Raw genomic sequence first — 27,270 nt, forward strand, 5'->3', positions numbered from 1 at the left:
AGGTCTGATACCTAAGCAATAAGGACTGATGAAAACCTGTTCAAATGTTTGAACACAAAATATTTAAAATTATAGCCAGGTGACACACAGTGACACACACCTTAATACTGGCACTTGTGGAGGCCAAGGCAGGCATATCACTTGAGCCTAGGAGTTCGAGACCAGCTTGGGAAACATGGAGACCCATCTCTACAAAATATATGAATAAAGTCCACCAGGTGTGGTGCTTGAGATATGATTGCACCACTGCACTCCAGCCTGGGCAAGACCGTCTTTTTGTTTTGAGATGGAGTTTCACTTGCAGCCCAGGATGGAGTGCAATGGTACAATCTGGGCTGACTGCAACCTCTGCCTCCTGGGTTCAAGCGATTCTCCTGCCTCAGCCTCCTGAGTAGCTGGGGTTACAGGCATGTACCACCACGCCTGGCTGATTTTTTTGGATTATTAGTAGAGACAGGGTTTCACCATGTTGGCCAGGCTAGTTTTGAACTCCTGATCTCAGGCGATCCTCCCGCCTCAGCCTCCCAAAGTGCTAGGATTACAGGCGTGAGCCACCGTGCCCGGCTTTTGAGACACTTGTCTACAGAAAAGTTCGTGGTGCAATCTTGGCTCACTGCATCCCCAATGGCCCAGGCTCAAGTGATCTTCCCACCTCAGCTTCCAGAGTAGTTGGGATTACAAGAACATGCCACCACACCCAGCTATTTTTTTGTCAAGATGGGGTTTCGCAGGCCGGGCGTGGTGACTCCTGCCTATAATCCCAGCTCTTTGGGAGGCCGAGGCAGGCTGGAGTCCGAGACCAGCCTAGCCAACATGGTGAAAACCCAGCTCTACTAAAAATAAAATTAGCTGGGTACGTGGAGTGCGCCTATAATCCCAGCTAGTCAGGAGGCTGAGGCAGGATAATCGATTGAACCTGGAGGGTGGAAGTTGCACTGGGCAACAGGGCAACACTCCGTCTCCAAAAAAAAAAAAAAAAAAAAAAAAAAGGGAGTTTCACCACATTGCCCAGGCTGGTCTCAAGCAATCTGCCCGCCTCAGTCTCCCAGAGTGCTGTGATTAAAGGCAGGTGGGAGCCACCGTGCCGGCCTGTATAATGCGTTTCAAGGCTGGGCAGTAAGCCAGTGAATCATTAATTCCCAAAACTGAAGTATAAATTTTTTGAAGAAAAACAAGTTTTTTTAAAATGTTTTCCCCCCTGAAGCTAAGAACTACACATCGTAATACATTATGCGTATCTATTATCGCACTTTCCATCAAGTTTTTGTCTCATGTTTGTCTCCCCTAGCCTGTGAGCTCTCTGAGCTCAGCAATCATCTGAAATATTAATCTTTGTATCACCAGCACTTTAACTGCCTGCAACACAGGTCCTGAATATCTGACAAAGAAACACTAAAATACATAGTGTTTCTACATTATGACAAATACAGAAGCTGTGAGGGAATGAAAACTGCCAAAATGCAGAAGTTCAAAGATTTAGGAGGACAACACATTTAGTTTTATTTCAATCAAATCACACAACACTTTCTTTTCCAACTGCTGCAAAGTGCATCTACAATATGCTATTACAGATCCACTTTTAAAAGGTTTCCTGTGACATTACAGCAAGCCTCTTTTTTCAAACAGAGGAATAATCCCAAATTCTTCCTCAAATAAACTCCATTCCAGTAAATGGTAAATACATAAAAATTACAGTAAGCCAGACACTTAAAAGGACAGCCAAGAAGTCTTCCAACAGTTTATTAGAAAGAATGTAGACATTTAAAAAAATCCCCACTGTCATGAACATAAATTGAGGTTTTCAGCCCGGGTATAAGCTGAATCAAAAAAAGGAAATAAAAAATCCAATAGTGTATTAAACATTTTTCACTCATTTGCCATACTGACAGTGCAAATACAAATCTGGACTAAATGTACAGACTCTCAAGCAACAATGTACAGCTTTCTTCGTCCTCCATGCTAAGAGATGTAAAAGCTTAAGGGTCAAACAATACCAATTGTATAGGCTTCAAAAACCATCTAAGTTAGGGCATTCTCTAGTTTTAGCTAAGATACACCTGGAACACTGACAAGTCATCACTTACATAGAATAATGTGAAGTAAATTTTTTGAAAAATAAATTTTAGTGGAACAATCCTGAAGGATAACACCAGAAGAATAGCAGGTTACCAGTAAGGTGTCAGCCAATTTGTTCCAGTCACTTTTGAATCCATGTTCTATAATCTAAAATTTATTCTCTTTCCCTAAGCTGAGAGCTTCCTATCATGTCAGTATCTATGTTATGAAGAAAAGGAGACTTAGGTGAGATGTTTTTATTTATCGCAACTGCTGCATTAATTGCCTAGGACCTCAACAGCTTCATGAAAGTCTGGGAAATGTTCATGCATAAGGTTATTGCCTTAGCTGACTTAAAATTGCCCCATACAATGGTACATATCAACCCTTAGTGAAGCCTTTTAAAAAACAAACAGGTTGAAAAATGGGTTAAAGTAGGCAAATACAGCATATCTGCCTTTAGAGCTATCAACTCAGGAATTCTCTCAATTATGAAATCTTGCAGAGAAGTTATTTTTCTTTCTCAAAATCCAGGTGATGACAATATTCCTTACTCCAGATCTGGCATTTCTGAAAGAATTTTTAAAAATATTAGTATATAGTACAAGTGAATAATCTACCAATTTTACTGTCTTAAAGGAAAAGCAACCAAAAATCGAAATACATAGTTGCCCAATGAATTAATAGGTTGTCTTGCTATCAAGTTATTCACATTTCTGCTTTGGTTATTTATTCAAGGTCATAAAGAAAAAATTACTTTACTTCCAAAGAAGTTAACATCTCTATTTTGAGTTTGTTTTTTGATGCAAAGTATCACTGTATAAACATACTTTTTATATACACTTACTTTCATCATCACTGTCTTGTGAATCCTGAAAGAGGGAAAATAAAGTTACCGAGCTGATCAAATATTCGTTTGCTAACTGAACAGTTTACCTAAAAAAGTTCAAGTGCTATATTTTTGACTAAAGTAGCACAGGTAGGTAGTCATATCAAGCCTAGAAATTTAGTCATTGGACTTGACTAGGTTTACCTAAGGTGAATGGATGTACAGCAGAGGATTTATCTACCTATAAAAAATGATGTGTGCCTTTTGGTGACAATTTAGCCCACCCGTTGAATCCATTCCTAAATTAACCTATCTCGGCATTCAAAGAGAAAACATGGATCAATATGAAGAAAAATGGACTGATAGAAGACAGTGAACTCTAATCCTAGCTGTTGAGTGAATATTAAGTGTTTTTCTAAATAGCATTAAATAACTTTCTGGGAGATGTTAACAGGATGCTGGGGTTGGAAAGATGTTGAGAAAAGTAGTTTAGTGTATCTTCCTCTTACAGATTTCCAATGTCCATCTTTTTTTTTTTTTTTTTTTTGGGTGGGGGGAGATGGAGTCTTGCTCTGTCACCCAGGCTACAGTGCAGTGGCGAGATCCGGCTCACTGCAACCTCTGCCTCCCGGGTTCAAGCGATTCTCCTGCCTCAGCCTCCCAAGTAGCTGGGATTACAGGCACCCGCCACCATGCCCGGCTAATTTTTGTATTTTTAGTAGAGATGGGGTTTCGCCATCTTGGCCAGGCTGGCCTGAAACTCTTGACCGCATGATCCACCCATCTCCGCCTCCCAATGTCCATCTGTTTTATCGGTCTCTGACCAATCCTGACATAAAACCTATTTAACTTACTTTCTTAGTCAAAATCATACCTATAAACTGACTCTCTTCTTTCTTTTTGAGATGGAGCCTCGCTCTGCTGCCCACACTGGAGTGCAATGGTGTGATCTTGGCTCACTGCAACCTCCGCCTCCCAGGTTCAAGCGATTCTCCCACCTCAGCTCACCAGTAGCTGGGATTACAGGCACCTGCCATCATGTCTGGCTAAGTTTTTAAGACAGGGTTTCACCATGTTGGCCAGGCTGGTCTCGAACTCCTGACCTCACGTACTCTGCCCACCTGGCCTGCTGGGATAACAGACATGAGCCACCTCGCCCGGCCTAAACTGACTGTTATAATTGAGTACGGTATTAATATATAATGTCTCTATACAATGATTCTTTGGAAATCTAATCCATTTAGGAATGGTCTACGGTACAACCAGTTCCCTAATAGATACCCCCATTCGTCAAAAATGGGCACATTTTAAAAATTGCTTTTCCCTTTTCTTTTTTTTTAGAAAATAAGAAGTAATTGTGAATCTATATAAAACCATTTGTAAATATGTTGTTTCTTACTATTTAATAGTATGAAAGTAAACAGAAAAAAGAATTTTTAGACTTACATCATCTGCTCCATCTACTTCTGGTAAATCTACATCCTCATCACCACCCATGTTGTTCATCATCTATTTGAAGTGTAAAAATTAGTTTTAAAAATGATGTTAAGTTAGGCCCTAATTATTAATGCTGTATGCTTCAGAATAAACCTTAAGTCTGCCACAGATATCAAAAAATGCAAAATGCAAATATAAGCATCTTTCCCTTCTGGAAAAGGAAGATTATAGGTAATTATACAAAATCCTAAAAACCCATATGGAAATTAAAACTAAATTTTCCCTAAAGAAAAGCAAAGCTATTCATGCAACAGGTTTGACAAACATTAAAAATTCTACTTGAGTAGTGGTTACCTCTGGTGGTTAAGGAAAAGAATGGGATTCATTTGTAGTTGCACAGCTATCTATCTTAAGTTAGGTGGAACATGTATTAAGGTATTCTTTTTTTTTTGAGACAGAGTCTAGCTTTGTCGTCCAAGCTGGAGTATGGTGGCGTGATCTCAGCTCACTGCAACCTCCGCCTCTGGGTTCACGCAATTCTCATGCCTCGGCCTCCAGGGTAGCTGGGATTACAGGCGCGTACCACCACACCCAACTAATTTTTTGTATTTTGGTACACACGGGGTTTCACCATGTTGCCCAGGCTGGTCTCGAATTCCTGGGCTGTAGTGATCCACCCACCTTGGCCTCCCAAAGTGCTGGGATTACAGGCGTGAACCACCATGCCAAGCCTTTTTTATTTTGAGATGGAGTCTTGCTCTGTTGCCCAGGTTGGAGTGCAGCAGCACAATCTCGGCTCACTGCAACTTCCGCTTCCCGGGTTCAAGGGAGTCTCCTGCCTCAGCTTCCTGAGTAGCTGGGATTACAGGCAGATGCCACCACGCCCAGTTAGTTTTTGTATCTTTGGTAGAGACAGGGTTTTACCATATTGGCCAGGCTGGTCTTGAACTCCTGGCCTCAAGTGATCCCCTTGCCTCGGCCTCCCAAAGTGCTGGGATTACAGGAGCAAGCCACTGTGCCAGGCCTGGTATTCTCATCATGGTTTTAGATATTGTGAAGAACCAAGAAATGATTTAAACTTAAACTATTATCAGATGATGAGAAACTTATTTTCTCAAGTTTAAACCATTTTTGTAATGTTTAAATTTTAGAAAAATAAAATCACATATGCATGGAAAAAAAATCAAACTTCAAAAATACATGATTACCCAGATTTTAGAATGGGAAAGGACCTTAAAAAGATAGTCAAACATACAATGGAATGTGTTCAGCCTAAAAGTATCATTCAGCCTTAAAGAAAAAAATCTGCCTTATGTGACAAAACACAATGAAGAATCTGAAGCACGTCATGCTATGTGAAATAAGCCAGTCACAGGACAAATACTGCATGATTCCACTTATATGAGATACCTAAGATTATGTAAGATACCTAAGATAGTCAGACACACAAAAATAGAGAGTAGAATGGTAGATGCCAGGAGCTGGGGGGAAGGAAAATGCAGAGTTGCTACTGTTAAATAGGTATCAAATTCCAATTACACAAAATGCATAGTTCCAGAGACCTACTACTGTACAGCATTATGCCTATAGTTAACAATACTGTATCATGCACTTAAAAGATAGCTGGGCGTGGCCAGGTCTGGTGACTCATGCCTGTAATCCCAGAACTTTGGGAGGCCAAGGCGGGTGGATCACCTGAGGTCAGGAGTTCGAGGCTAGCCTGCCCAACATGGTGAAACCCTGTCTCCACTAAAAATACAAAAATTAGCCGGGCATGGTGGTGGGCACCCGTAATCCCAGCTACTTGGGAGGCTGAGGCAGGAGAATTGCTTGAACCCAGGAGGTGGAGGCTGGAGTGAGCCAAGATCGTGCCATTGCACTACATCCTGGGCAACAAGAGCAAAACTCTGCCTCAAAAAAATAAATAAATAGTCTGTTAAAAGAGTAGATTTCATGTGAAGTGCTCTTACCTCAATTAATTAAACACACACAAAAAAGGATTCAGTATAAAAATTTTGGGCAATCTATCTTGAATGAAATGAGTAACTGGGAGTTTCCCTACCTCCAAAAGCACTACTCAATACTTTAAGTTTCTTTGGGCAGGAAAAATGCTAAATGTACCAAGCATAACGCTACGTGCTTAAGATAAACAGCAAGAGAAAACTGTACATATTCAAGAGATATGTAAGAGATAACAACAAAAACTGGACAACAAAGATAGCAAAATAAAACAAAAAACAAAAAACAAAAACAGTGTTATAAGGCTGGGGGTGGTGGCTCAGGCCTGTAGTCCCAGCACTTTGGGAAGCTGAGGCAGGAGGATCACTTGAGCTCAGGAGTTCAAGACCTGCCTAAGCAACACAATGGCTTGCACAGCTAGGTAAATGGTGGCACCGATTTCTACAGGTAAGGAAAGTACAATTAAAAAATAATATGAATAGAACATCCTCCCTTCCTGTTGAAATCACCATGCCAGAGTCACGTGTGGAGAACTGTTAAATAAGCAGTTGCATAAAGCTGGAAACTTAGCTCCTTTTATTTAACTCTTAAGGTCTCAAAATACAAAATCTAGTTAATGAAAAATTTCAAATAGCAACAAGAAATGGATTTCATCAGTATGCATTCGACTTATACACTAATGTTCTTTCTGTACTTAGTTTTATTCTACTACATTTGATAAAGTCTATTCTGCCTATATAGAGATGAATCATTTATTCTTGGGCCATGGCAACGTTATTTGGGTGACATCTTAGAAAACAGACTTTCTTAAACTTTTTTCCTTGTATATCTCATGGTAAACATTTCACCATGAATTTTTTTTTTTTTTTTTTTGGAGACAGAGTCTTGCTCTGTCGCCCAGGCTGGAGTGCAGTGGTGTGATCTCGGCTCACTGCAACCTCTACCTCCTGGGTTCAAGCAATTCTCCTGCCTTAGCCTCCGGAGTAGCTGGGATTACAGGCGTGCACTACCACGCCTAGCTATTTTTTTGTAGTTTTATTTAATTATTTATTAATTTAGAGACGGCGTTTTGCTCTTGTTGCCCAGACTGGAGTGCAATAGCGATCTCGGCTCACCGCAACCTCCACCTCCCGGGTTCAAGTGATTTTCCTGCCTCGGCCTCCCGAGTAGCTGGAATCACAGGCATGCACCACTACGCCCAGCTAATTTTGTTCACGCCTTCTGGGTTCACGCGATTCTCCTGCCTCAGCCTTCTGAGTAGCTGAGATTACAGGCGCCCGCCACTGCACCCGGCTAATTTTTGTATTTTAGTAGAGACGGGGTTTCACCATGTTGGTCAGGCTGGTCTTGAACTCCTGACCTCAGGTGATCCGCCCATCTCAGCCTCCCAAAGTGCTGGGATTACAGGCGTGAGCCACCGCGCCCAGCCTATGATTCTTGTGTTTAACAGTTTATCGTTCTGCATTTATTTATTTATTTGACCGAGTCCCGCTCTTTCGCCAGGCTGGAGTCCAGTGGCACGATCTCGGCTCACTGCATCCTCTGCCTCCAGCGTTCAAGCAATTCCCGTTTCAGCCTCAGGAGTAGGTGGGACCACAGGTGCGCGCCACCATGCCCAGCTAATTTTTTTTGTATTTTAGTAGAGATGAGGTTTCACCAAGTTGGCCCGTATGATCTAGATCTCCTGACCTCGTGATCTGCCAGCCTTGGCCTCCCAAAGTGCTGGGATTACAGGTGTGAGCACCGTGCCCGGCCAAAAGTTTATAGTCTTATTTTATGACTTCAAAATCCAAGTCAACTACTGCAATCATGCTTTAAAAAAAAAAAAAAAAAAAGTCCCAATGATGAAATTAGCAAACTAGCTGTGTTAGTTTGTCTTAATGCATTAACTTTTGTAACTTTTGTAGCTAACACTAATTCCTTTTAAAATCATTAAAATGGTTCAACTTCAGGATTAAAATTGCCATTGTTAACATCTATTTACTATGACTGCAAAATGGTCTTAAAAATAAAATAACATGCATCATGAATACCATTAGGTGCCCAAAACCATATTAAATTGACTACATAGACAGGTACCGTGTGCTTCGAATGGGGAGAGGTCCATTTAAAGGAACTTACCTCAGAGAAACGATCAAAATTAGACATGTCTTCATCTGAATCATCTTCCCAGTCTTTCCAATTATTGAAGTCGACACTAAGCCAATTAAGCTATAAATCAATACAAATATCACCCTAAGATTAGGCTAATTTGCATTTGGCATGAACCTTAAGACTACGTTTTCTTTTCTTCTAAAGAGACCAGGTCTTGCTATGTTGCCCAGGCTGGAGTGCAGCAAGCATTCACAGGTGCAATCCCACTATTGATCAATATGTGAGTTTTGACCAGCTCCGTTTCTGACCAAGGGTCTTGTTTACCCTCTTCAGGCAACCTGGTGGTCCCCGCTTCCTGGGACAACACCGTACTGATGTTAACTTAGCGTGGTTACCTGACATATGGCAATGCAACCCAGACTTGGGCGCAAGTATTTCTCCCACTTCACCCTCCAGAGTAGCTTTTAACTACAACAGGCACATGCTACTGGTGCCTGGCAAAACAATATTTTTTGAACTGTGACTTTGTATTTTTAGGAGGGCATGTAATTAGCACACAAAGAATAGACTAAGCTAAATGAGGTGGCTCACACCTGTAACCCCAACACTTTGGGTGGCCAAGGTGGAAAGACTAGTTGTGTAATCCTTCAGGAGTTCGAGACAGCCTGAGCAATAGTGGATCCTGTATCTGGGGAAAAAACAAAAAAACAAATTTCCTGGGCGTGGTGGCACATTCCTACAATCCTAGCTATTTGGAGAGGTGAGGTGGGTGGGAGGATCGCTTAAGCCCAGGTGGAGGCTACAGTGAGCCATGTTCACACCAGTGCACTCTGGCATGAGTGGCATGAGACTACCTAAAAAAAAAGACTAGGCTGGTGTCGTGGCTCATGCCTGTAGTCCCAGCACTTTGGGAGGCTGAGGTGGGGAGACTGCTTGAGCCCAGAAGTTCAAGACCAAGCTGGGCAACACTGTGATACCCCTTTCTACAAAAAATACAAAAATTAGCCAGGTGTTGTGGCATGCCCCTACAGTCCCAGCTACTTGGGGGACTGAGGAGGGAGGATCACTTGGAGCCTGGGAAACTGAGGCTGCAGTGAGCCAAGATCGTGCCACTGCACTCCAGCCTGGGTGACAAAGAGAGACCCTGTTTTGGGGGAAAAAAAACACTGAAAATTGTTAAACATACCTTTTGAAAACAAATTTACTAGTAAGAACTATTTTCAGTTGATTATTTTTTCACCAAGCTTTGTCCCCTCCCATGTGATAGCTGAGTAATTTATGCAAAGTCTGTCTCTTAAGTACAAAAGATTCTACACCAGTTAATAACTGATATTCTGATCACACTTCGTATTAAAACTGAGTAGACAAAAAACATGAACATGAGGCTTTATACTTAGCTGTGAAACAAAAACACAGCCATATTCCTTACATCAAATAAGTACATCTTTTATTACCTAAAATAAAAATATCAAACTTTTCAAAAAAGGAAAATGAAACCTACCTTTGCCCTTTCTTTTGTTAACCTTGGCCATGACTGGCCAGATTCTCCTTTTCGTAAACAACATAAAATTGATCTGTCCGTTCTTTTATGCTTGGAATCCTAAAAACAAAAGGACCATCATACCATTTATCTTTCCAGCATCACTACATGATAGAAAATAGCTTGTCATTTCTCACCTTTCTCATTTCTTTACCTAAATTTTCTCTGGACTCTGAAACATGCCCTTGACTACTAAAAACTTCAAACTATCCAACTGCCCCAACCCCCTTTAAGTTTCATTTAAAAAAAAATTTTTTTTTCCCTTCTATTTCCTACTGAAATAATCTGCACAACAATAAAGTTTAAAGTTTAACCTGGTACCATTTTTTTCTTTCCTGCACACGATAAACAGAATAAAACCTTAAAAACTTTAACTAAAAATGATATAACCACAGAATGGTTTAAAGATTCTATTCTTAGATAAGGGAAGCCTTGGCCGGGCGCAGTGGCTCATGCCTGTAATCCCAGCACTTTGGGAGGCCGAGGCAGGTGGAACACCTGAGGTCAGGAGTTTGAGACCAGCCTGACCAACATGGTCTTTACTAAAAACACAAAAATTAGCCAGGCATGGTGGCATGTGCCTGTAATCCCAGCTGCTCCAGAGGCTGAGGCAGGAGAATCCCTGGAACCTACGAGGCAGAGGTTGCAGTGAGCCGGGATCGCTCCATTGTACTGCAGCAGTCTCAAAGAACAAAACCAAACAAACAAAAAAACAAAACAAATAAAAAAGATGAGACGAGCCTCAAGGATACTACTCTAAGCCCAAACAGTGATAGCAAAAACAAAAAGTATGCAGAAACCAATTTTGGAGGAAATATTCTACAAAATGTAAATATACATAGTTTGCCTCACTGTTAAGAAAAACAGAACTAATGCTCATTGCTAAAAAGAATACTTGGTATGTCTGTTTCCTCACAACTAAAATTTGGATTAAAGCATAAAGACTACTTACATTTGGATCAATACAGTGAAAAAGATCAATTTCATTTAAATGCTTAAAATTATCACTTCCTCCGAGACAACTGTATAAAATAATAAAGAAAGAATTAAGCCTCTTCAAAGAGACAAAGATTAATAATAACTTCAATGAAAAGACAAGCCAGTCAAAGTTATTCAGTTGTGTGAATGACTATTTTACATCATTGGATAAAAAGCTTAACTTACCTGAATGTAAGTTTGGATTTTTCAAAATTTACATTAACATCCTTACTGTCTTCAACACAAAATTCAATGAAGACATAGTCCCTTCGATCGTACCACTTTGCAGAAGCAGGCTGCCTACAAAAGGATAAAGTAGGGAAAGTCAAGCTGGAATTCATTAACTAAACATTCACATACTAACCTTCGACACCATTATAGCATTATTTCAGGGCAGTTTGTTACAATTTTAAACAAAAACTACATTTTTACCCTAACAGCTACATTCCAAGTTAAAACCTATGGGTCTAACAAGATTTAGTTTCAGAATGATTCCAATTTCATAATAGGAAAGATTTAAAAACCAAACAATGCTTAGTAGAGTTAGCCGTTTATCTAGTCCTATCAAAAATTATGTTACTTGGCTGGGTGCAGTGGCTCACACCTGTAATCCCAGCACTTTGGGAGGCCAAGGCAGGTGGGTCACTTGAGGCCAGGAGAGCTAGAGACCAGCCTGGCCAGCACAGCGAAACCCCGACTCTACTACAAATACAAATACGGAAAAAAAAAAAAAAAAAAAAAAAAAAAGCAGGGTACGGTGGCTCACGCCTGTAATCCCAGCACTTTGGGAGGCTGAGGTGGGTGGATCACCTAAGCTCAGGAGTTCGAGACCAGCCTGACCAACATGGTGAAACCCCATCTCTACTAAAATACAAAAATTAGCCAGGCACAGTGGCAGGCGCCTGTAATCTCAGCTACTTGGGAGGCTGAGGCAGGAGCATCGCTTGAACCTGGGAGGCGGAGGTTGCAATGAGCCGAGATTGCGCCATTGCACTCCAGCCTGGCAACAGAGCGAGACTGTCTCAAAAAAAAAAAAAAAAAAAAAAAATTAGCTGGGCATGGTGATGCAGGCCTGTAGTCCCAGATACTTGAGGGATGGGACTGAGGCACAAGAATCACTTGAACCCGGGAGGTGGAGGCTGCGGTGAGCTGAGATCATGCCACTGCAATCCAGCCTGGGCAACAGAGACTCTGTCTCAAAACAAACAACAACAACAAAAAACACTGGTACATCAGAGCTTCACTTTTTACATTAAGTTCACTGAAACCAGGAGAATCAATCTCCTTTCCTCAAATTCAGCAATCTAGAATTTTATCAGTTTCCTCAAAATTAATACATTGAAGTCCTAACCCCCAGTACATCTTAAGAATGGGATTGTATTTGGAGAAAGTGTCTTTAAATGACAAGTAAATATGAGGTCTTAGGATAGACCCTAATCCAATGACTGTTGTCCTCCTATATAAAGAGATTAGCACAGAGGGAAGAAAGAAGATAGCTATCTGCAAACCAAGGAAAGGCCTCAGAAGAAACTAATCCTGCTGACACCTTCGCCTTGGATTTTCAGCCTCGTGGAAATGTGAAGAAATAAATTTCTGCTGTTTAAGCCACCCAGTGTGTGATACTTTCTTATGAAAGCCTTAGCAGGCCAGGCGCGGTGGCTCACGCCTGTAATCCCAGCACTTTGGGAGGCGAGGCAGGTGGATCACCTGAGGTCGAGAATTCGAGACCAGCCTGACCAACACGGAGAAACTCGTCTCTGCTAAAATTACAAAAAATTCAGGCGGGCACAGTGGCTCACGCCCATAATCCCAGCACTTTGGGAGGCCGAGGCAGGAGGATCACAATGTCAGGAGATTGAGACCATCCTGGCTAACACGATGAAACCCTGTCTCTACTAAAAATACAAAAAATTAGCCAGGCATGGTGGTAGGCGCCTGTAGTCCCAGCTACTCGGGAGGCTGAGACAGGAGAATGGCATGAACCCAGGAGGCGGAGCTTGCAGTGAGCTGAGATCAGGCCACCGCACCCCAGCCTGGGCAACAGAGCAAGACTCCATCTCAAAAAAAAAAAAAAAAAAAAAAAAAAAAATTCGCCAGGCGTGGTGGTGCATGCCTGTAATCTCAGCTACTCAGGAGGCTGAGTCAGGAGAATCGCTTGAACCTGGGAAGTGGAGGTTACGGTGAGCCGAGATCAGGCCATTGCACTCCAGCCTGGGCAACAAGAGTGAAACTCGGTCTCAAAAAAAAAAAAAAAAAAAAAAAGTGCTGGTTCACACCTGTAATCCCAGCACTTTGGGAGGCAGAGGCAGGCGGATCACGAGGTCAGGAGTTCGAGACCAGCCTGGCCAATATAGTAAAACCCCGTCTCTACTAAAATTGCAAAAATTAGCTGGGCGTGGTGGCACGTACCTGTAGTCCCAGCTATTTGGGAGACTGAGCCAGGCCAATCAGTTGAACCCAGGAGGTAGAGGTTGCAGCGAGCCAAGATCACGCCACTGCACTCTAGTCTGGGTGACAGAGCAAGACTCTGTCTCAAAAAAGAAAAAGAAAAAGAAAAAGAAAAAAAGCCTTAGCAAGCTATATGATCATGTCCCAGATAAAACAAATTTAAATTATCAAAACCTGTGGTTAGGCCATGAACCAAAAATGATTCCTACATTTTTTAAATGTATATTTTTAAAAAAACACAGGAGGCGGAAGTTGCAGTGAGCCAAGATCACACTACTGCACTCTAGCCTAGGCAACAGAATGAGACCAAAAAAAAAAAAAAAAAAAATGTGAATGAGATAAGAGATATTTGTGGCCTGCAAAGCTGAATATTTACTGGCTGACCCTTTATACAAGTTGGCTAACACATTAAAACTACAAACAGGGCCGAGTGCGGTGGCTCACGCCTGTAATCTCCAGCACTTTGGGAGGCTGAGATGGGTGCATCACCTAAGGTCAGGAGTTCAGAGACCAGCCTGGCAAACATTATGAAACCCCATCTCTACTAAAAATACAAAAAATTAGCTGGGTGTGGTGATGGGCACCTGTAATCCCAGCTACTCAGGATGCTGCAGCAGGAGAATCGCTTGAAATAAGGAGGTGGAGGTTGCAGTGAGCCCAGACCACGCCATTGCACTCCAGCCTGGACAACAGCGTGAAACTCCGTCTCAAAACACAACACAAAAACTGCAGACCAGGCGCAGTGACTCAAGCCCATGATCCCAGCACTTTGTGAGGCCAAGGCTGATGGATCACCTGGGGCTGGGAGTTTGAGACCAGTCTGACCAACGTGGAGAAACCCCGTCTCTACTAAAAATACAAAATTAGCCAGGCGAGGTGGCGTATGCCTGTAATACCAGCTATTTGGGAGGCTGGGAGGGGGAGGGGGAGGGGGAGGTGGAGGTGGAGGTTGCGGTAAGCCGAGATCACGCCACTGCACTACAGCCTGGGCAACAGAGAGAGGCTGTGTCTCCCCCCCCAAAAAAAAAAAAAAAGCCAAAATAGGATTGGAACCCAGCATTTCTGACAGAAGGCTTATTTTTTTTCACTTCACAAAAAGGGACAATAATTTCTCCAGCGGTCCTTTTATTGCAAAGTAACTAACCATGTCTCTGTACTTCCAGTTTGTTTTATTATATAATCTAAACTAGCTTCTGCATACTTGACAACATGATAATGGAGTCCTGAGAGTCTAAAATTTGTTATGGAGGCAGTGAGAGAGTGATATTTGACCTTGAGTCTTTCTTGAACAAAGAAAAATTCTTTTATCTCCTGGGGATGTTAAAAGAAGAATGCTTCAGGGTCTAAAACCAAAGCAAGAAAGTAATTTTTTTAAAAAAAGAGTGCTCAAAAGACGGAATGTGGAAAGCCACAAGAGTTGCTTGATAGAAAAGTGCTAAGTGGGTATGCGTGGTGGTTCATGCCTATAATCCCAGCACTTTGGGAGGCCAAGGCAGGTAAATCACTTGAAGTCAGCCTGGACAACATGGTGAAACCCCATCGCTACTAAAAATACAAAAATTAGACAGGCATGGTGGCGCGCTCCTATAGTCCCAGCTACTTGGGAGGCTGAAGCACAAGAATCCTTGAACCCGGTGGTGGAGGTTGCAGTGAGCTGAGATCGTGCCACTGCACTGCAGCCTGGGTGAGAGAGTGAGATTCCGACTCAAAAAAAAAAAAAAAAAAAAAAAAAATAGTGCTGGCTAAGTGCGGTGGCTTATGGCAGTAATCTCAGCACTTTGGGAGGCTGAGGTGAGCAGGTCACCTGATGTCAGGAGTTCAAGACCAGCCTGGCCAACCACCGTGGTGAAATCCCGTCTCTACTAAAAATGTAAAAATTAGCTGGGCATGGTGGTGCACACCTGTGATCCCAGCTACTAGGATGGCTGAGGCGGGAGAATTGCTTGAACATGAAAGGCAGAGGTTGCAGTAAGCCAGATAGCGCCACTGCACTCTAGCCTGGGCGACAGAGTGAGACTCCTTCTCCGCACCACCCAAAAAAAAAAAAAAAAGTGCTACATTTTCCATAAAACATTACCTTGAACAGCTTTCACCTTTGTATCTTAGAGTGGAAACTACCACATAAAATAACTCGCTAGGACAGAGGTTCACAAGCCTTCCTGGTATATAGTGCCCTTGGTGTCTGAGGAGTTTTGTTGTGCTCTTAAGCCAAAAGGAGTAACTAGCAGTTGCTTTGATGACATAGCTGTATCCAAGCAACATAACTATATTGTCTTAGCAGCCTAGTAGCTATTGGAAAAACGAATTTACATTATTGGAAAGAAAAATATATATAGTTTCTTATATAACCATACCTATCAATGGAATGTGTATGGCTTTTGGATACTATATAACTTCTCAAACTTTGAAATGACTTCTATCATCTCACTCCTTGTTCCCCATTATTATTATTATTTTTTTTTGGTGGGGTGGGTACCTGTGTTTTTTTGAGTTATAGCAACCACCAGAAATTCAGTTTTTAGAAGATGAAACTTAATGGAGGGGTTTGCAGTACAATCTCATATTGAAACTGAACAACCTGAAACTAATAGTTTGCTTAGTGTCTTGGCTTATGTTGAGTATCACTGAATTACTCTGAAATTTAAAATATCCCAAGGTAGTTGTGAGTTCCTCCATGGGGCCCTGATACATCTTGGCACATGATTTGGTAGCCACAGGCCACAGGACTAGCAGGTTTATTCAGAAAGTTTTATAGTACTACAGCTGATTACAGAAGATCTCAAATATCTTACGGTTTCCCTGAGCAATGAGTATGTGGGAGACAGCTTGGTGTCAGACATTTATAGGCAAGGTGTTTGATACCTAAGAAGGAAAAACCATTTATGAACTCCAGGAACTACTTTTTTCCTTTCCATAGCAGAACTTTGATGTCTCATTCCTCACATATTACAAATAGGTATTTTTAATTTATTTATTATTTTTGAGATGGAGTCTGGCTCTGTCGCCCAGGTTGGAGTGCAGTGGCGTGATCTCGGCTCACAGCAGCTTCTGCCTCCTGGGTTCAAGCAGTTCTCCTTCCTCAGTCCCTTGAGTAGCTGGGATTACAGGCGCCCGCCACCAAGCCTGGCTAATTTTTGTTTTTTAGTAGAGGCAGGTTTTCACCATGTTGGCCAGGCTGGTCTCGAACTCCTGACCTCAGGTGAGCCACCCGCCTCAGCCTCCCAAAGTGCTGGAATTACAGGAGTGAGCCACCATACCCAGCCTGTTTTGTCTTTTATAATAAAATGTGCATTGCACATAGTAAAACTATCAAATGGATTAAAATAACTGGGACACTTTTCCTAGCAAACTGTTTCCATCTAGCTTCTTTGGTGCATCAATTTTTTATAGTGAAGGGTGCTTGCAGTGTTTTATAAATTAGAGTTATAACTCACCAGATACTAACATATTAAAATTATGGTATTTAGGAACAAATACGGTCTCTGTCCTTTCAAGGCTAACAAAGAGACCTTTTAGATAGGACTATAGAGGATTTTAGGTTATGCAAAATGTAATTGCTTGGATTGGTATATATAGCCCTTCTATTGAGCTTAGAAATGCTTGTCACATCAGCATGGAATAGGCTGGGCACTGTGCCTCATGCCTGGAATCCTAGCACTTTAGGAGGCCAAGGTGAGAGTATCATTTTGGGCCAGGAGTTCAAGACCAGCCTGGGCAACACTGCGAGACCACATCTCTGCCAAAAAGAAAAAAATCGCTGGCCATGGTGACACATGCTTGTAGTCCTAGCTAACTGGGGGGCACTGAGGTGGGAGAATTGCTTGAGACAAGGAGTTTGAGGTTATAGTGAGCATGGTTGTACCACTGCACTCCAGCCTGGGCCACATAGCAAGACCCTGACTTAGAGAAGCATGGAGACCAGGAGTGATGGCTCACATCTAATATCAGCACTTTGGGAGCCCAAGGCTGGCAGATTACTGGAGGCCAGGAGTTCAAACCAACCATGCCAACATGGCAAAACCCTGTCTCTACTGAAGATACAAAAATTAGTTGGGCATGGTAGCATACCTGTAATCCCAGCTACTTGGGAGGCTGAGACATGAGAATCGGTTGAACCCAGGAGGCGGAGGCTACAGTGAGCTGAGATGTGCCCCTGCTGCACCCCAGCCTGGGCAACAGAGTGAGACTCTGCCTCAAAAAAAAAAAAAAAAAAAAAAAGCATGGAATGTCCGCCTGTGGGGTTTATTGTTGTTTTGCTTTAAGTAGATTATTTACATAATGTATGCAGAGGTGGAAAGTTTTGAATCTATAGGGATATTACTATTAAAATGAATTAACAGTCTTACACAATGGTTATGAGTTTAGCCAGTGTTAGCAGAAAGGCTAGAGATAAATCCAGTATAATTAGTTTAGAAGCTAAAGTTAAAGCTAAACTCAGCCCCCTCTCCATATGTTTTGGGTTTGTTTTTTTAGACGGAGTCTCACTCTGTCACCCCGGAGTGACAGGCTGGAGAACGGTGGCATGATCTTGGCTCACCGCAACCTCCACCTCCCAGGTTGAAGCAATTCTTCTGCCTTAGCCTCCCGAGTAGCTGGGATTACAGGTGCCTGCCACCATGCCCGGCTAATTTTTGTATTTTTAGTAGAGACGAGGTGTCATCATGTTGGCAAGGCTGATCTTTAACTCCTGACCTCAAGTGATCCACCTGCCTTGGCTTCCCAAAGTGCTAGGATTACAGGCATGAGCCACCGCACCCAGCCCTCTCCATATGTTAATAGGAGAAAAAGAGATGGTGTAATCCTCATGGAAGGCAAAAGGAGATTTCATAAACGCTGGTTTTCCATTTTTGTTTTATTGGTTTTGGTTTTTTTTTTTTTTTGAGAAAGTCTTGCTGTCGCCCAGGCTGGAGTGCAATGGCGCGATCACAGCTCACTGCAATCTTCACTTCCGGGGTTCAGGTGATCCTCCTGCCTCAGCCTCACAATGAGTAGATGGAACTACAGGCATGCGTCACCACACCTAGCTAATGTTTTCACATTTTTAGTAGAGATGAGGTTTTGCAATATTGGCCAGGCTGGTCTCGAACTCGGCCTCAAGTGATCTGCCCACCTCAGTCCCCCAAAGTGGTGGGATTATAGGTGTGAGTCACTGCACCCAACCCAATTTTCTTTCTTTTTTTTTTTTTGGGGGGACAGAGTTTCACTCTTGCTGCCCTGATTGGACTGCAACGGCGTCATCTTGCCTCTCTGCAACCCCTGCTTCCCAGGTTCAAGCGACTATCCTGCCTCAGCCTCCCAAGTAGCTGGGGTTACAGGCATGTGCCGTCAGGCCTAGCAATTTTTTTTAAGTAGAGATGGGGTTTCACCACGCTGGTCAGGCTGGTCTCCAACTCCTGACCTCAGGTGATCCTCCAGCTTCAGCCTCCCAAAGTGCTGGGATTAACAGGCGTGAGCCACCACACCTGGCCCAGTTCTCCTTTCAAATGAGGGAATACATATGTGTTTATTCCTGATTCAGGATAAGTGTAGGGCACCCTCCACCCACTTGTAGTTTTTGTTTTTTAAAAGTTTTTTTTTTTTTTTGAGACCAGTTCTTGCTTTGTCATTCAGGCTGGAGTGCTGTGGCGTGATCTCAGCTCACACAGCCTTGACTTCGCAGGCTCAGGTGATCCTCCCACCTCAGTCTCCATGGTGGATGGAACCACAGATACATGCTACCACACACCCAGGTTATTTTTTGTAGAGATGGGGTCTTACCTTGTTGCCCAGGCTGGTCTCAAACTTCTGAACTCAGGTGATGCATCCACCCCGGCCTCCCAAAGTGCTGGGATTACAGGTGTGAGTCACCATACCTGGTCCCCCCATTTGTAGTTGTGTTTTGTTTTTTTGTTTGGACAGAGTTTTTGCTCTTGTTGTCCAGACTGGAATGCAATGGCTTGATCTCGTGAACCCCAATCCTATTTCAGACAGCCCCAATCCTATTTCGGACAGCCCCTTTATGATTCTCAAATTAGTGCTGTGTAAATGGGTATTTTAAGAATCAGGCCGGGCGCGGTGGCTCATGCCTGTAATCCCAACACTTTGGGAGGCCGAGGAGGGCGGATCACGAGGTCAGGAGATCCAGACCTTCCTGGCTAACAGAGTGAAACCCCGTCTCTACTAAAAATACAAAAAATTAGCCGGATGAGGTGGCGGGAGCCTGTAGTCCCAGCTACTCGGGAGGCTGAGGCAGGAGAATGGCGTGAACCCGGGAGGCGGAGCCTGCAGTGAGCAAAGATCACGCCACTGCACTCCAGCCTGGGCAACAGAGTGAGACTCCATCTCAAAAAAAAAAAAAAAAAAAAAAAAGAATCAGCCGGGTGCAGTGGCTCATGCCTGTAATCCCAGCACTTTGGGAGGCCAAGGCGGCAGATCTCCTGAGGTCAGGAATTTGAGACCAGCCTGACCAACATGGCGAAACCCCATCTCTACTTAAAAAAAAAAATACAAAAATTAGCCAGGTACGGTGGCATGCGCCTGTAATCCCAGGTACTCAGGGGGCTGAGGCAGGAGAATCGCTTGAACACCCAGGAGGCAGAGCTTGCAGTGAGCCGAAATCACACCATTGCACTCCAGCCTGGGCGACAGAGCAAGACTCCATCTCAAAAAAAAAGAGTCTCACTCTGTAACCCAGGCTGGAGTGCAGCAGTGGCGCATTCTCGGCTCACTGCAACCTCCTCGCCTCCTGGGTTCAAACCATTCTCCTGCCTCAGCCTCCCAAGTAGCTGGGATTACAGGCACCCGCCACGGTGCCCAGCTAATTTTTGTATTTTTAGTAGAGACAGGGTTTCACCATGTTGGCCAGGCTAGTCTGGAACTCCTGACCACAAGTGACCTGCCCGCCTTGGCCTCCAAAAGTGCTGGGATTACATGTGTGAGCCACCGTGCCCAGCTGACATTGGCACTATCAAATGAAGTGTGGCTTCATGTGAATGAGCACCTGAGGCACAGAAAAGCCCCAACAGCACATTTTATTCAGCTTCAGAATACAAAATGGGAAAAGAGCATATGCTGAAGGTGAAGTTAAAATATCAATGAGCAAGTGGCTCCAATTCCAGCACTCTGGGAGGCTGAGGAGGGAAGACTGCTTGAGCCCAAGAGTTTGAGACAAGATAAGCCTTAGCAACATTGTGAGACCCCCGTCTCTAAAAAAAATTAAGTTAGCTGGGTGTGGTGGTGCACACCTGTAGTCCCAACTACTGGGGGACCAAGGCAGGAGGATGGCTTGATCCCAAGTTTGAGGCTGCAGACAGTGATGACACCACTGCACTCCAGCCTGGGCAAAGTAGTGAGACAGTGTCTCAGAAAAGAAGAAATATTCCCGGAAAACCGCAAGTTCAAAGGTATACCAAGGATCGGGTGCAGCAGCTCACACCTGTAAACCCAGGACTTTGGGAGGAAGATCACTTGAGCCCAGGAGTTCAAGACCAACCTGGACAACACGGTAAGATCCCGTCTCCATTTAAAAGAAAAAAAAAAAAAAAGGCCGGGCGTGGTGGCTCACACCTGTAATCCTAGCACTTTGGAAGGCCAAGGTGGGATGATTGCCTGAGCAAAACGGCGAAACCCCATTTCTACTAAAATACAAAAAATTAGCTGGGCATAGCGGCACATGCCTGTAGTCCCAGCTACTTGGGAGTCTGAGAGAGGAGAATCGCTTGAACCTAGGAGGCAGAGGTTGCAGTGAGCCAAGATCGCGCCACTGCACTGCAGTCTGGGCAACAGAATGAGACTCCGCCTCAAGAAAAAAAAAAAAATTTACAAAGGTATACCGAGGAAGCAGGGAAGCAGCCTCATTCTAGAATCTATCATTGCCGGCTGCGGCAGTAGCTCACGCCTGTAATCCCAGCACTCTAGGAGTCTGAGGCGCGTGGATCATGAGGTCAGGAGTTCAAGACCAGCCTGGCCAAGATGGTGAAACCCCATCGCTACTAAAAATATATAAAATTAGGCCAGATGCAGTGGCTCACACCTGTAATCCCAGCACTTTCTGAGGCCGAGGCGGGTGATCACCTGAAGTCGGGAGTTTGAGACCAGCCTGACCAACATGGAGAAACCCCATCTCTACTAATTAGCCGGGCATGGTGGCGCATGCCTGTGATCGCAGCTACCCGGGAGGCTGAGGCAGGAGAATTGCTTGAACACAGGAGGCGGAGGTTGCGGTGAGCCGAGACCGTGACATTGCACTTCAGCCTGGGCAACAAGAGAGAAACTCTGTCTCAAAAAAAAAAAAAAAAAAAAAAAAAAAATTAGCCAGGCATGGCGGCAGGCACCTGGAATCCCAGCTACTCAGGAAGCTGAGGCAGAGAACTACTTCAACCCAGAAGGCGGAGGTTGCAGTGAGCCGAGATCGCACCAGTTCACTCCAGCCTGGGCGACAGAGCCAGACTCCATCTCAAAAAAACAAACAAAAACCAAAACTATGGGCCGGGCGCGGTGGCTCACGCCTGTAATCCCAGCACTTTGGGAGGCCGAGGCAGGCGGATCACGAGATCAGGAGATCGAGACCATTCTGGCTAACACGGTGAAACCCCGTCTCTACTAAAAATACAAAAAATTAGCCGGGCGAGGTGGCGGGTGCCTGTAGTCCCAGCTACTCGGGAGGCTGAGGCAAGAGAATGGCGTGAACCCCAGGGGGCGGAGCCTGCAGTGAGCCGAGATCGCGCCACTGCACTCCAGCCTGGGCGACAGCGAAACTCCGTCTCAAAAAAAAAAAAAACAAAAAAAACAAACAAAAAAAACCCCAAAACTGTAATTGCCGATCCACACAGTAAATAGTAAAAAGTTCAATACACTATTTCCATAGCAAAATATGCTCACTAGAGTATTTTTTGAGCTCACGTAAATATGATCTTAGGTGTTTAACAGCGAGATTGGTTCTGAACAGTTGATATTTACAAAGGTTTTTTTTCCCCTGAAAAGAGACAATCGCTAACCACAAGACCCAAAAATGATAGCTTGTAGATTTTTAAACCGAGAAAATCCAATTAGTCAGGAGAATCTTAATTTAGCAATAAAACACTGGCTTGCACTCAAGAAATTTTTCACTTCCAGTTTCTACTGCCTTCTAGTTAAAGTCTAACTGAACACAGGAAGAAAAATTAAAAATCCAGTTGCCAGGTTACAGTGCACAGGAAATCAATACTGAACAAAGGCCACCCACCATCAGATACTCAAGTTATAGCAATTAACAATATAGCATATGTTCACTACGACAATTTGTTTTGCAGGCTAAAGATGGACAATTTTATTTTGGAGATTCGTTCCTACACAGCTGAATGACAGGAAGATTTTTACCAAAATCAGAGACGCAAGTTTCTGGACAACTTCCTAATTATATACAAGACATTAGACAGGAAAAACAACAACTTCCAACATCTCTAAAATAAATAAAACATTTTACTTTTTCTCTATTTTTAATCGGTCGAACGACAATGATTCAAAAAGAAAATGCGAAGTAGCACCCTCTGGCAAGGTTAGTTAAGCGGAAAATCTTAAGTGGGGGAAGGTCCTAAAAATCCCAGCCTTCTCCAAGATAGGTCCGAAATTAAGAGCTTTTATGTAAATTATGAGACAAACTTTTATAACTTAGGATTTAAAGAAATGTAACTACGAAATCGCTGAAGAGCAAATGAGTAAATCAAATGAGAAAACACACTCCCAAGCCTTTAAGACACCCAGCATAAATCTCTCTCTCCCCAGAGCTTAAAAAAAATTTATTAGCCAGGCATGGTGGTGCTTGCCTGCAGTCCCAGCTACTCGGGAGACTGAGGCAAGGAGGATCGCTTGAGCCCGGGAGGTAGAGGTTGCAGCTGCACTCCAGCCTGGGTGACAGAGGAAGACCCTGTCTCCAAAAAAAACACTTTTAAAACAAGTTATCAACAAAATAAACCCTTATCAGCCAGATTCTTAAGACTGGATGACGACCCATTAAAGGCTTCTTCCACTTCAAATAACTGACTTACAACTTTCATTTTAAAATTTAAGTCTTTAGCTTGTTAAGAGTCCCTGAAGAATTTACTAAACGGCATATATTATTTTTAAAAGAATATTTTAGCTGGTCTCTTCAAAACACTTGTTTCCCCCAGCCCAACACTCTTCAAGTGGCATTGAATCACTCGTTTTGAAGGTAGCATTTTTTCTTTTCTTTTTTTTTTTTTTTTTTTTTAAGACAGTCTCGCTGTGTCGCCCAGGCTGGAGTACAGTGGCGCAATCGCCGCTCACTGCAAGCTCCGCCTTCCGGGTTCAAGCCATTCTCTTGCCTTAGCCTCCCAAGTAGCTGGGACCACAGGCGCCCGCCACCACACCCGGCTAATTTTTTGTATTTTTAGTAGAGACGGGGTTTCACCGTGTTAGCCAGGATGGTCTCGATCTCCTGACCTCGTGATCCACCCGCCTCGGCCTCCCAAAGTGCTGGGATTACAGGAGTGAGCCACCCCGCCCGGCATGAAAGTAGCATTTTTATTTTTTAACTAGAGAGGCTACTTTTTGGAATAGTCTCTCTACTGCTACACTTACTTTTTTTTTTTTTTTTTTTTTTTTGAGACGGAGTCTCCCTCTATTGCCCAGGCTGGAGTACAACGGCGCAATCTCTGCTCACTGAAACCTTCACCTCCTGGGTTCAAGCGATTCTCCTGCCTCAGCCTCCGGAGTAGCTGGGACTACAGGCATGCACCACCACACCCAGCTAGTTTTTGTATTTTTAGTAGAAACGGGGTTTCACCATATTGGCCAGGCTGGTCTCTAACTCCTGACCTCGTGTTCCGCCTGCCTCGGCCTCCCAAGTATAGGGATTACAGGCGTGAGCCACCGCGCCTGGCCTTACACTTACTTTTCACCCAAGTTTTTAAATCTACTTTCCTAGTAATAGCCGTTCCTTACCTATTTAAATATCTCATGTGGCCTCCATCAAATGCTTCTACTTCAAGCCAATTTTAAACATACTTTTCGCGAAAAGATATGTTGTTTGGCTCTATTATTAAAAGCTGCTTAATGCCTCATCTGACAAAAAATTTCCCCTTACAGATTTTCAGAGTATGAAAGGTTAAGACTGATGTCCCTTCTACATTACTTAGGAGAGCTTTCAAATAGAAAAGCAAAAACTATTTTATATACATTCAAATTTATTTATTTATTTTGAGACGGGTTTTCACTCTTGTTGCCCAGGCTGGAGTGCAATGGCATGATCTCGGCTCACCGCAACCTCCACCTCCCAGATTCAAGCGATTCTCCTAACCTCAGCCTCCCGAGTAGCTGGGATTACAGGCATGTGCCACCACGCCCGGCTAATTTTTTTTGTATTTTTGCAGCGACGCGGTTTCTCCATGTTGGTCAGTCTGGTCTCGAACTCCCGACCTCAGGTGATCCGCCCGCCTCGGCCTCTCAGAGTGCTGGGATCACAGTTGTGAGCCACCGCGCCCAGCCTAATTCAAATTTTTTAAAACCCCGATTACGTATCACTTTCGGGGAGGGGGCTCCTTCAAAAATTCTAACATGCTGTGCTCTAGAAGCTTGTTCCCAGTGATAAACTCGCTTCAGCCTCACGCATCCCTTTAGATTTCTAGCCAATATACTCAGCCTCAGTATCATGACTTGAATCAAGCAAATCCTTATTACTTTTCCAAAGACATAAAGTCACTCCCCTCTTCTCTCTTCTGAATGGAGTCTAAAACAAAAGAAAAAAAAGGTTCCACCTTAATTGTTCTCCATACCTTTTAGGACGTAGTTAGTACCTTGAAAAATAACCTCCCGTCAAAAAAAAAAAAAAAAAAAAAAAAACCCTGTAAAACCGGCAGTTCCCACTGTACGCGGCAGTGCCAAGAATTCTTACCGGTTAAAATCGCCAAGGCTTTCCTTTATCATCGTAAAATGAAGACTGCCATAGAATCTGTATTCACCTCCACACAAATTTAAGATCTTTGGGACGACTGTAGGTTAATTAAATGCCTACTACATACCTATTTCATCCTACACTGTAACAAGATAGTGAAACCTCACCTCAAGTAGAACATGAAACACAGAAAATGTCCGTATCTTTCCAAAGTCGACACGTGCGGAACTACCTGCTCAATGGTAACTCCTCCTCGCTGCCAGGGAAGCGGCTGAGTTTTGGCAACCTCCCGTGTTTTCAAGAGACTGGAGTTAGGAGGCGGACTGGAAGTACCCACACTCAAGAAACCCAGACACTGGAGAGGGAAGTATGTTGCGGCGTGGGCATGGCTTCCTTCTAGTTGCCTAGCAGTACCTGCAGCTCACGGCGAGGTCCGCGTGGGGCTCTCCCAGGAGCTCCGCCAGGCACCTGGCGGCACCCACCACAGGTGCACTCGACTCAGGGCCTGGCCCCGGGACCACAAAGCAACAGAACCGGAGCGCCCAAGCAGCCGAGAGGCGACCCACGAAGGTTCACGCTTCAGGGCGCCGCATGGCGAGCAGCTACCGGGAGCTTAAGGCCTAGGGTGAAGTTACCGAAAGAGGCGAGTAACCCAGACAGCCAAAGGGGTAAAAGTAGGATTTCCGGCATGGGGAAGCCAAGGAACGGTTCAGGGGTGGGGGAAGCAGACATCTGGAGGAAAAATGTCCTCCACCCGCCAACGGTAACCGGAACAAGGATCCTGGACCTCCCGCCCCCAGGCAGGAACGACTGCCACCACCGATGCGAGAAAGGCTAGGGGGCCGCTTCCAGGGAGCCCCCAACGCGGCCTCGGCCTCACTCGGCGACCTTCCCTCGGCGGGGTGTCGCACTCACATTGTGAACGGGGCAGGGGGACGGGCGAACTGGTGGGCGGGCCTCTCTGGCGGCGGCTGCTGCTAGGGAGTCGACTTCTCTCCGGTGGCGACTCCGCTTTTTCTCTCCGGTCGCGGCCTCTTCTCGCTTCCCTCAGGCGACGGCGGCAGCGGCGGGCTCGACCTCGGGCCCCAGAATGCACCGCGCGGAAAGAGCGGCTCCTCCGGTCGGGGAGAAGAGGAAAGTGTAGGAAAAGGGGCGCGAGGACGGAGAATGAACGTGCGTGCGTGCAAACGAGGGGTGGTGAGGCCGGGCGGCGGCTGGTGACGCAGCAAAATGCCCGGGCCTTGCCGCCGCGCGTGCGCAGTCCTTGTTTTTGGGCTCCGGCGCGGCTTTCTAGAGATATCTACGGAAAGGGCGGGGCCTCCCAGCTCCTTCGCGATCCTTCCTGGCGCCGGCCCCGCCCTTCGTCCGCCACCCCACCCCCACTCCGCCCCCTGCTAGTCCCTACGCGTTCCCGCCTCTCCTCCCGCTCTGTCTTCTCGCGTTAGAAAACCGTTAGTGGCCCAACTGCCCTGCCATGCGCCTTCGGCGATTTCTCTGAGAAACGGTTGCGTTGACAGTGGGAGGCAAGGCTGAGGCGGAGGGACACGGAGTCGGGATCCTGGAGAACTGAAATGGCGCGTTGGTTACTCTTGAGGGAGTAAATCAGCTCACTGAGTCATCATTCCACCACAAAAACCTGTAAAAAGCCTGTGCTGTGGAAAAGGGCTCACTTCAGAATCAAGGGCCTGGGTCCACCTCGCCATTTTTCTGAAGGTTGGAGGCTCTGTCCAGGGACAGCGGAAATTCGAGGTTCTTGGCGGAGGAGGAGCATTTGCCAATTGGGGCGGGCTTTTGCCCCTACCTTGAGACCTTAGTGCTGTAGATGAGCCAGGAAAGGTATTTGAGGGGAGAGTCTAGGTTTCTGGGAATGGAGAGAGTAGGACATTGTGTGTTTCCACGCACATCGTTTGGGGGAGAAGGGGTTCCCCGTCGCTTTGTGCAACATATTAGTAGGGTGTAGTAGGGGTAGCAACCAAGAGACCCAAAACAGTCCTGCTTAAGAAGAAGCCGCTTAACGGTGGATTGGGGAAAAATACTCTAGTGCGCTGCATTTTGAACAGG

At 44.6% G+C, this 27,270-nt stretch overlaps 1 protein-coding gene and 1 pseudogene across 12 annotated transcripts, besides 7 other annotated features; both read right to left on the reverse strand.

The window, feature by feature from the left end:
- PTGES3 (prostaglandin E synthase 3) lies at positions 1,476 to 26,411 on the reverse strand. 12 transcript variants are annotated; one of them, NM_001282604.2, is made up of 9 exons: positions 26,125 to 26,411; positions 24,996 to 25,044; positions 11,079 to 11,192; positions 10,867 to 10,936; positions 9,876 to 9,974; positions 8,402 to 8,491; positions 4,331 to 4,393; positions 2,903 to 2,927; positions 1,476 to 2,625 (listed from the first exon to the last, which is right to left on the reverse strand). In NM_001282604.2, the coding sequence occupies exons 2-9, from the start codon at positions 25,007 to 25,009 to the stop codon at positions 2,606 to 2,608; spliced, it is 495 nt and encodes a 164-aa protein (NP_001269533.1). In that variant the 5' UTR covers positions 25,010 to 25,044; positions 26,125 to 26,411; the 3' UTR covers positions 1,476 to 2,605. The 12 variants fall into 12 exon arrangements, 11 of the variants coding, with proteins under 11 accessions (NP_001269533.1, NP_006592.3, XP_005268633.1 ...); NR_104219.2 differs by lacking the exon at positions 24,996 to 25,044 and having other exon boundaries at positions 3,759 to 4,393; positions 25,377 to 26,411; NM_006601.7 differs by lacking the exon at positions 24,996 to 25,044.
- Positions 8,577 to 8,873, reverse strand: RN7SL809P (RNA, 7SL, cytoplasmic 809, pseudogene; annotated as a pseudogene).
- Positions 19,048 to 19,927: an enhancer, noted in NCBI's record as "H3K27ac-H3K4me1 hESC enhancer chr12:57074705-57075584 (GRCh37/hg19 assembly coordinates)". NCBI's record gives its function as "activates a minimal SCP1, AML or CMV promoter by ChIP-STARR-seq in naive H9 embryonic stem cells {active_cell/tissue: H9 hESC(naive)}" and the evidence as "EXISTENCE:reporter gene assay evidence [ECO:0000049][PMID:30033119]".
- Positions 22,211 to 22,290: an enhancer, noted in NCBI's record as "active region_6512". NCBI's record gives its function as "activates an Ori minimal core promoter by ATAC-STARR-seq in GM12878 lymphoblastoid cells {active_cell/tissue: GM12878}" and the evidence as "EXISTENCE:reporter gene assay evidence [ECO:0000049][PMID:35858748]".
- Positions 24,012 to 24,071: a silencer, noted in NCBI's record as "silent region_4564". NCBI's record gives its function as "represses an Ori minimal core promoter by ATAC-STARR-seq in GM12878 lymphoblastoid cells {active_cell/tissue: GM12878}" and the evidence as "EXISTENCE:reporter gene assay evidence [ECO:0000049][PMID:35858748]".
- Positions 25,518 to 25,567: an enhancer, noted in NCBI's record as "active region_6513". NCBI's record gives its function as "activates an Ori minimal core promoter by ATAC-STARR-seq in GM12878 lymphoblastoid cells {active_cell/tissue: GM12878}" and the evidence as "EXISTENCE:reporter gene assay evidence [ECO:0000049][PMID:35858748]".
- Positions 25,678 to 25,797: an enhancer, noted in NCBI's record as "active region_6514". NCBI's record gives its function as "activates an Ori minimal core promoter by ATAC-STARR-seq in GM12878 lymphoblastoid cells {active_cell/tissue: GM12878}" and the evidence as "EXISTENCE:reporter gene assay evidence [ECO:0000049][PMID:35858748]".
- Positions 26,296 to 26,821: an enhancer, noted in NCBI's record as "NANOG-H3K27ac-H3K4me1 hESC enhancer chr12:57081953-57082478 (GRCh37/hg19 assembly coordinates)". NCBI's record gives its function as "activates a minimal SCP1, AML or CMV promoter by ChIP-STARR-seq in naive H9 embryonic stem cells {active_cell/tissue: H9 hESC(naive)}" and the evidence as "EXISTENCE:reporter gene assay evidence [ECO:0000049][PMID:30033119]".
- Positions 26,458 to 26,647: a silencer, noted in NCBI's record as "silent region_4565". NCBI's record gives its function as "represses an Ori minimal core promoter by ATAC-STARR-seq in GM12878 lymphoblastoid cells {active_cell/tissue: GM12878}" and the evidence as "EXISTENCE:reporter gene assay evidence [ECO:0000049][PMID:35858748]".

This window comes from Homo sapiens, chromosome 12, assembly GCF_000001405.40.
Source record: "Homo sapiens chromosome 12, GRCh38.p14 Primary Assembly".
Lineage (NCBI taxonomy): Eukaryota > Metazoa > Chordata > Mammalia > Primates > Hominidae > Homo > Homo sapiens.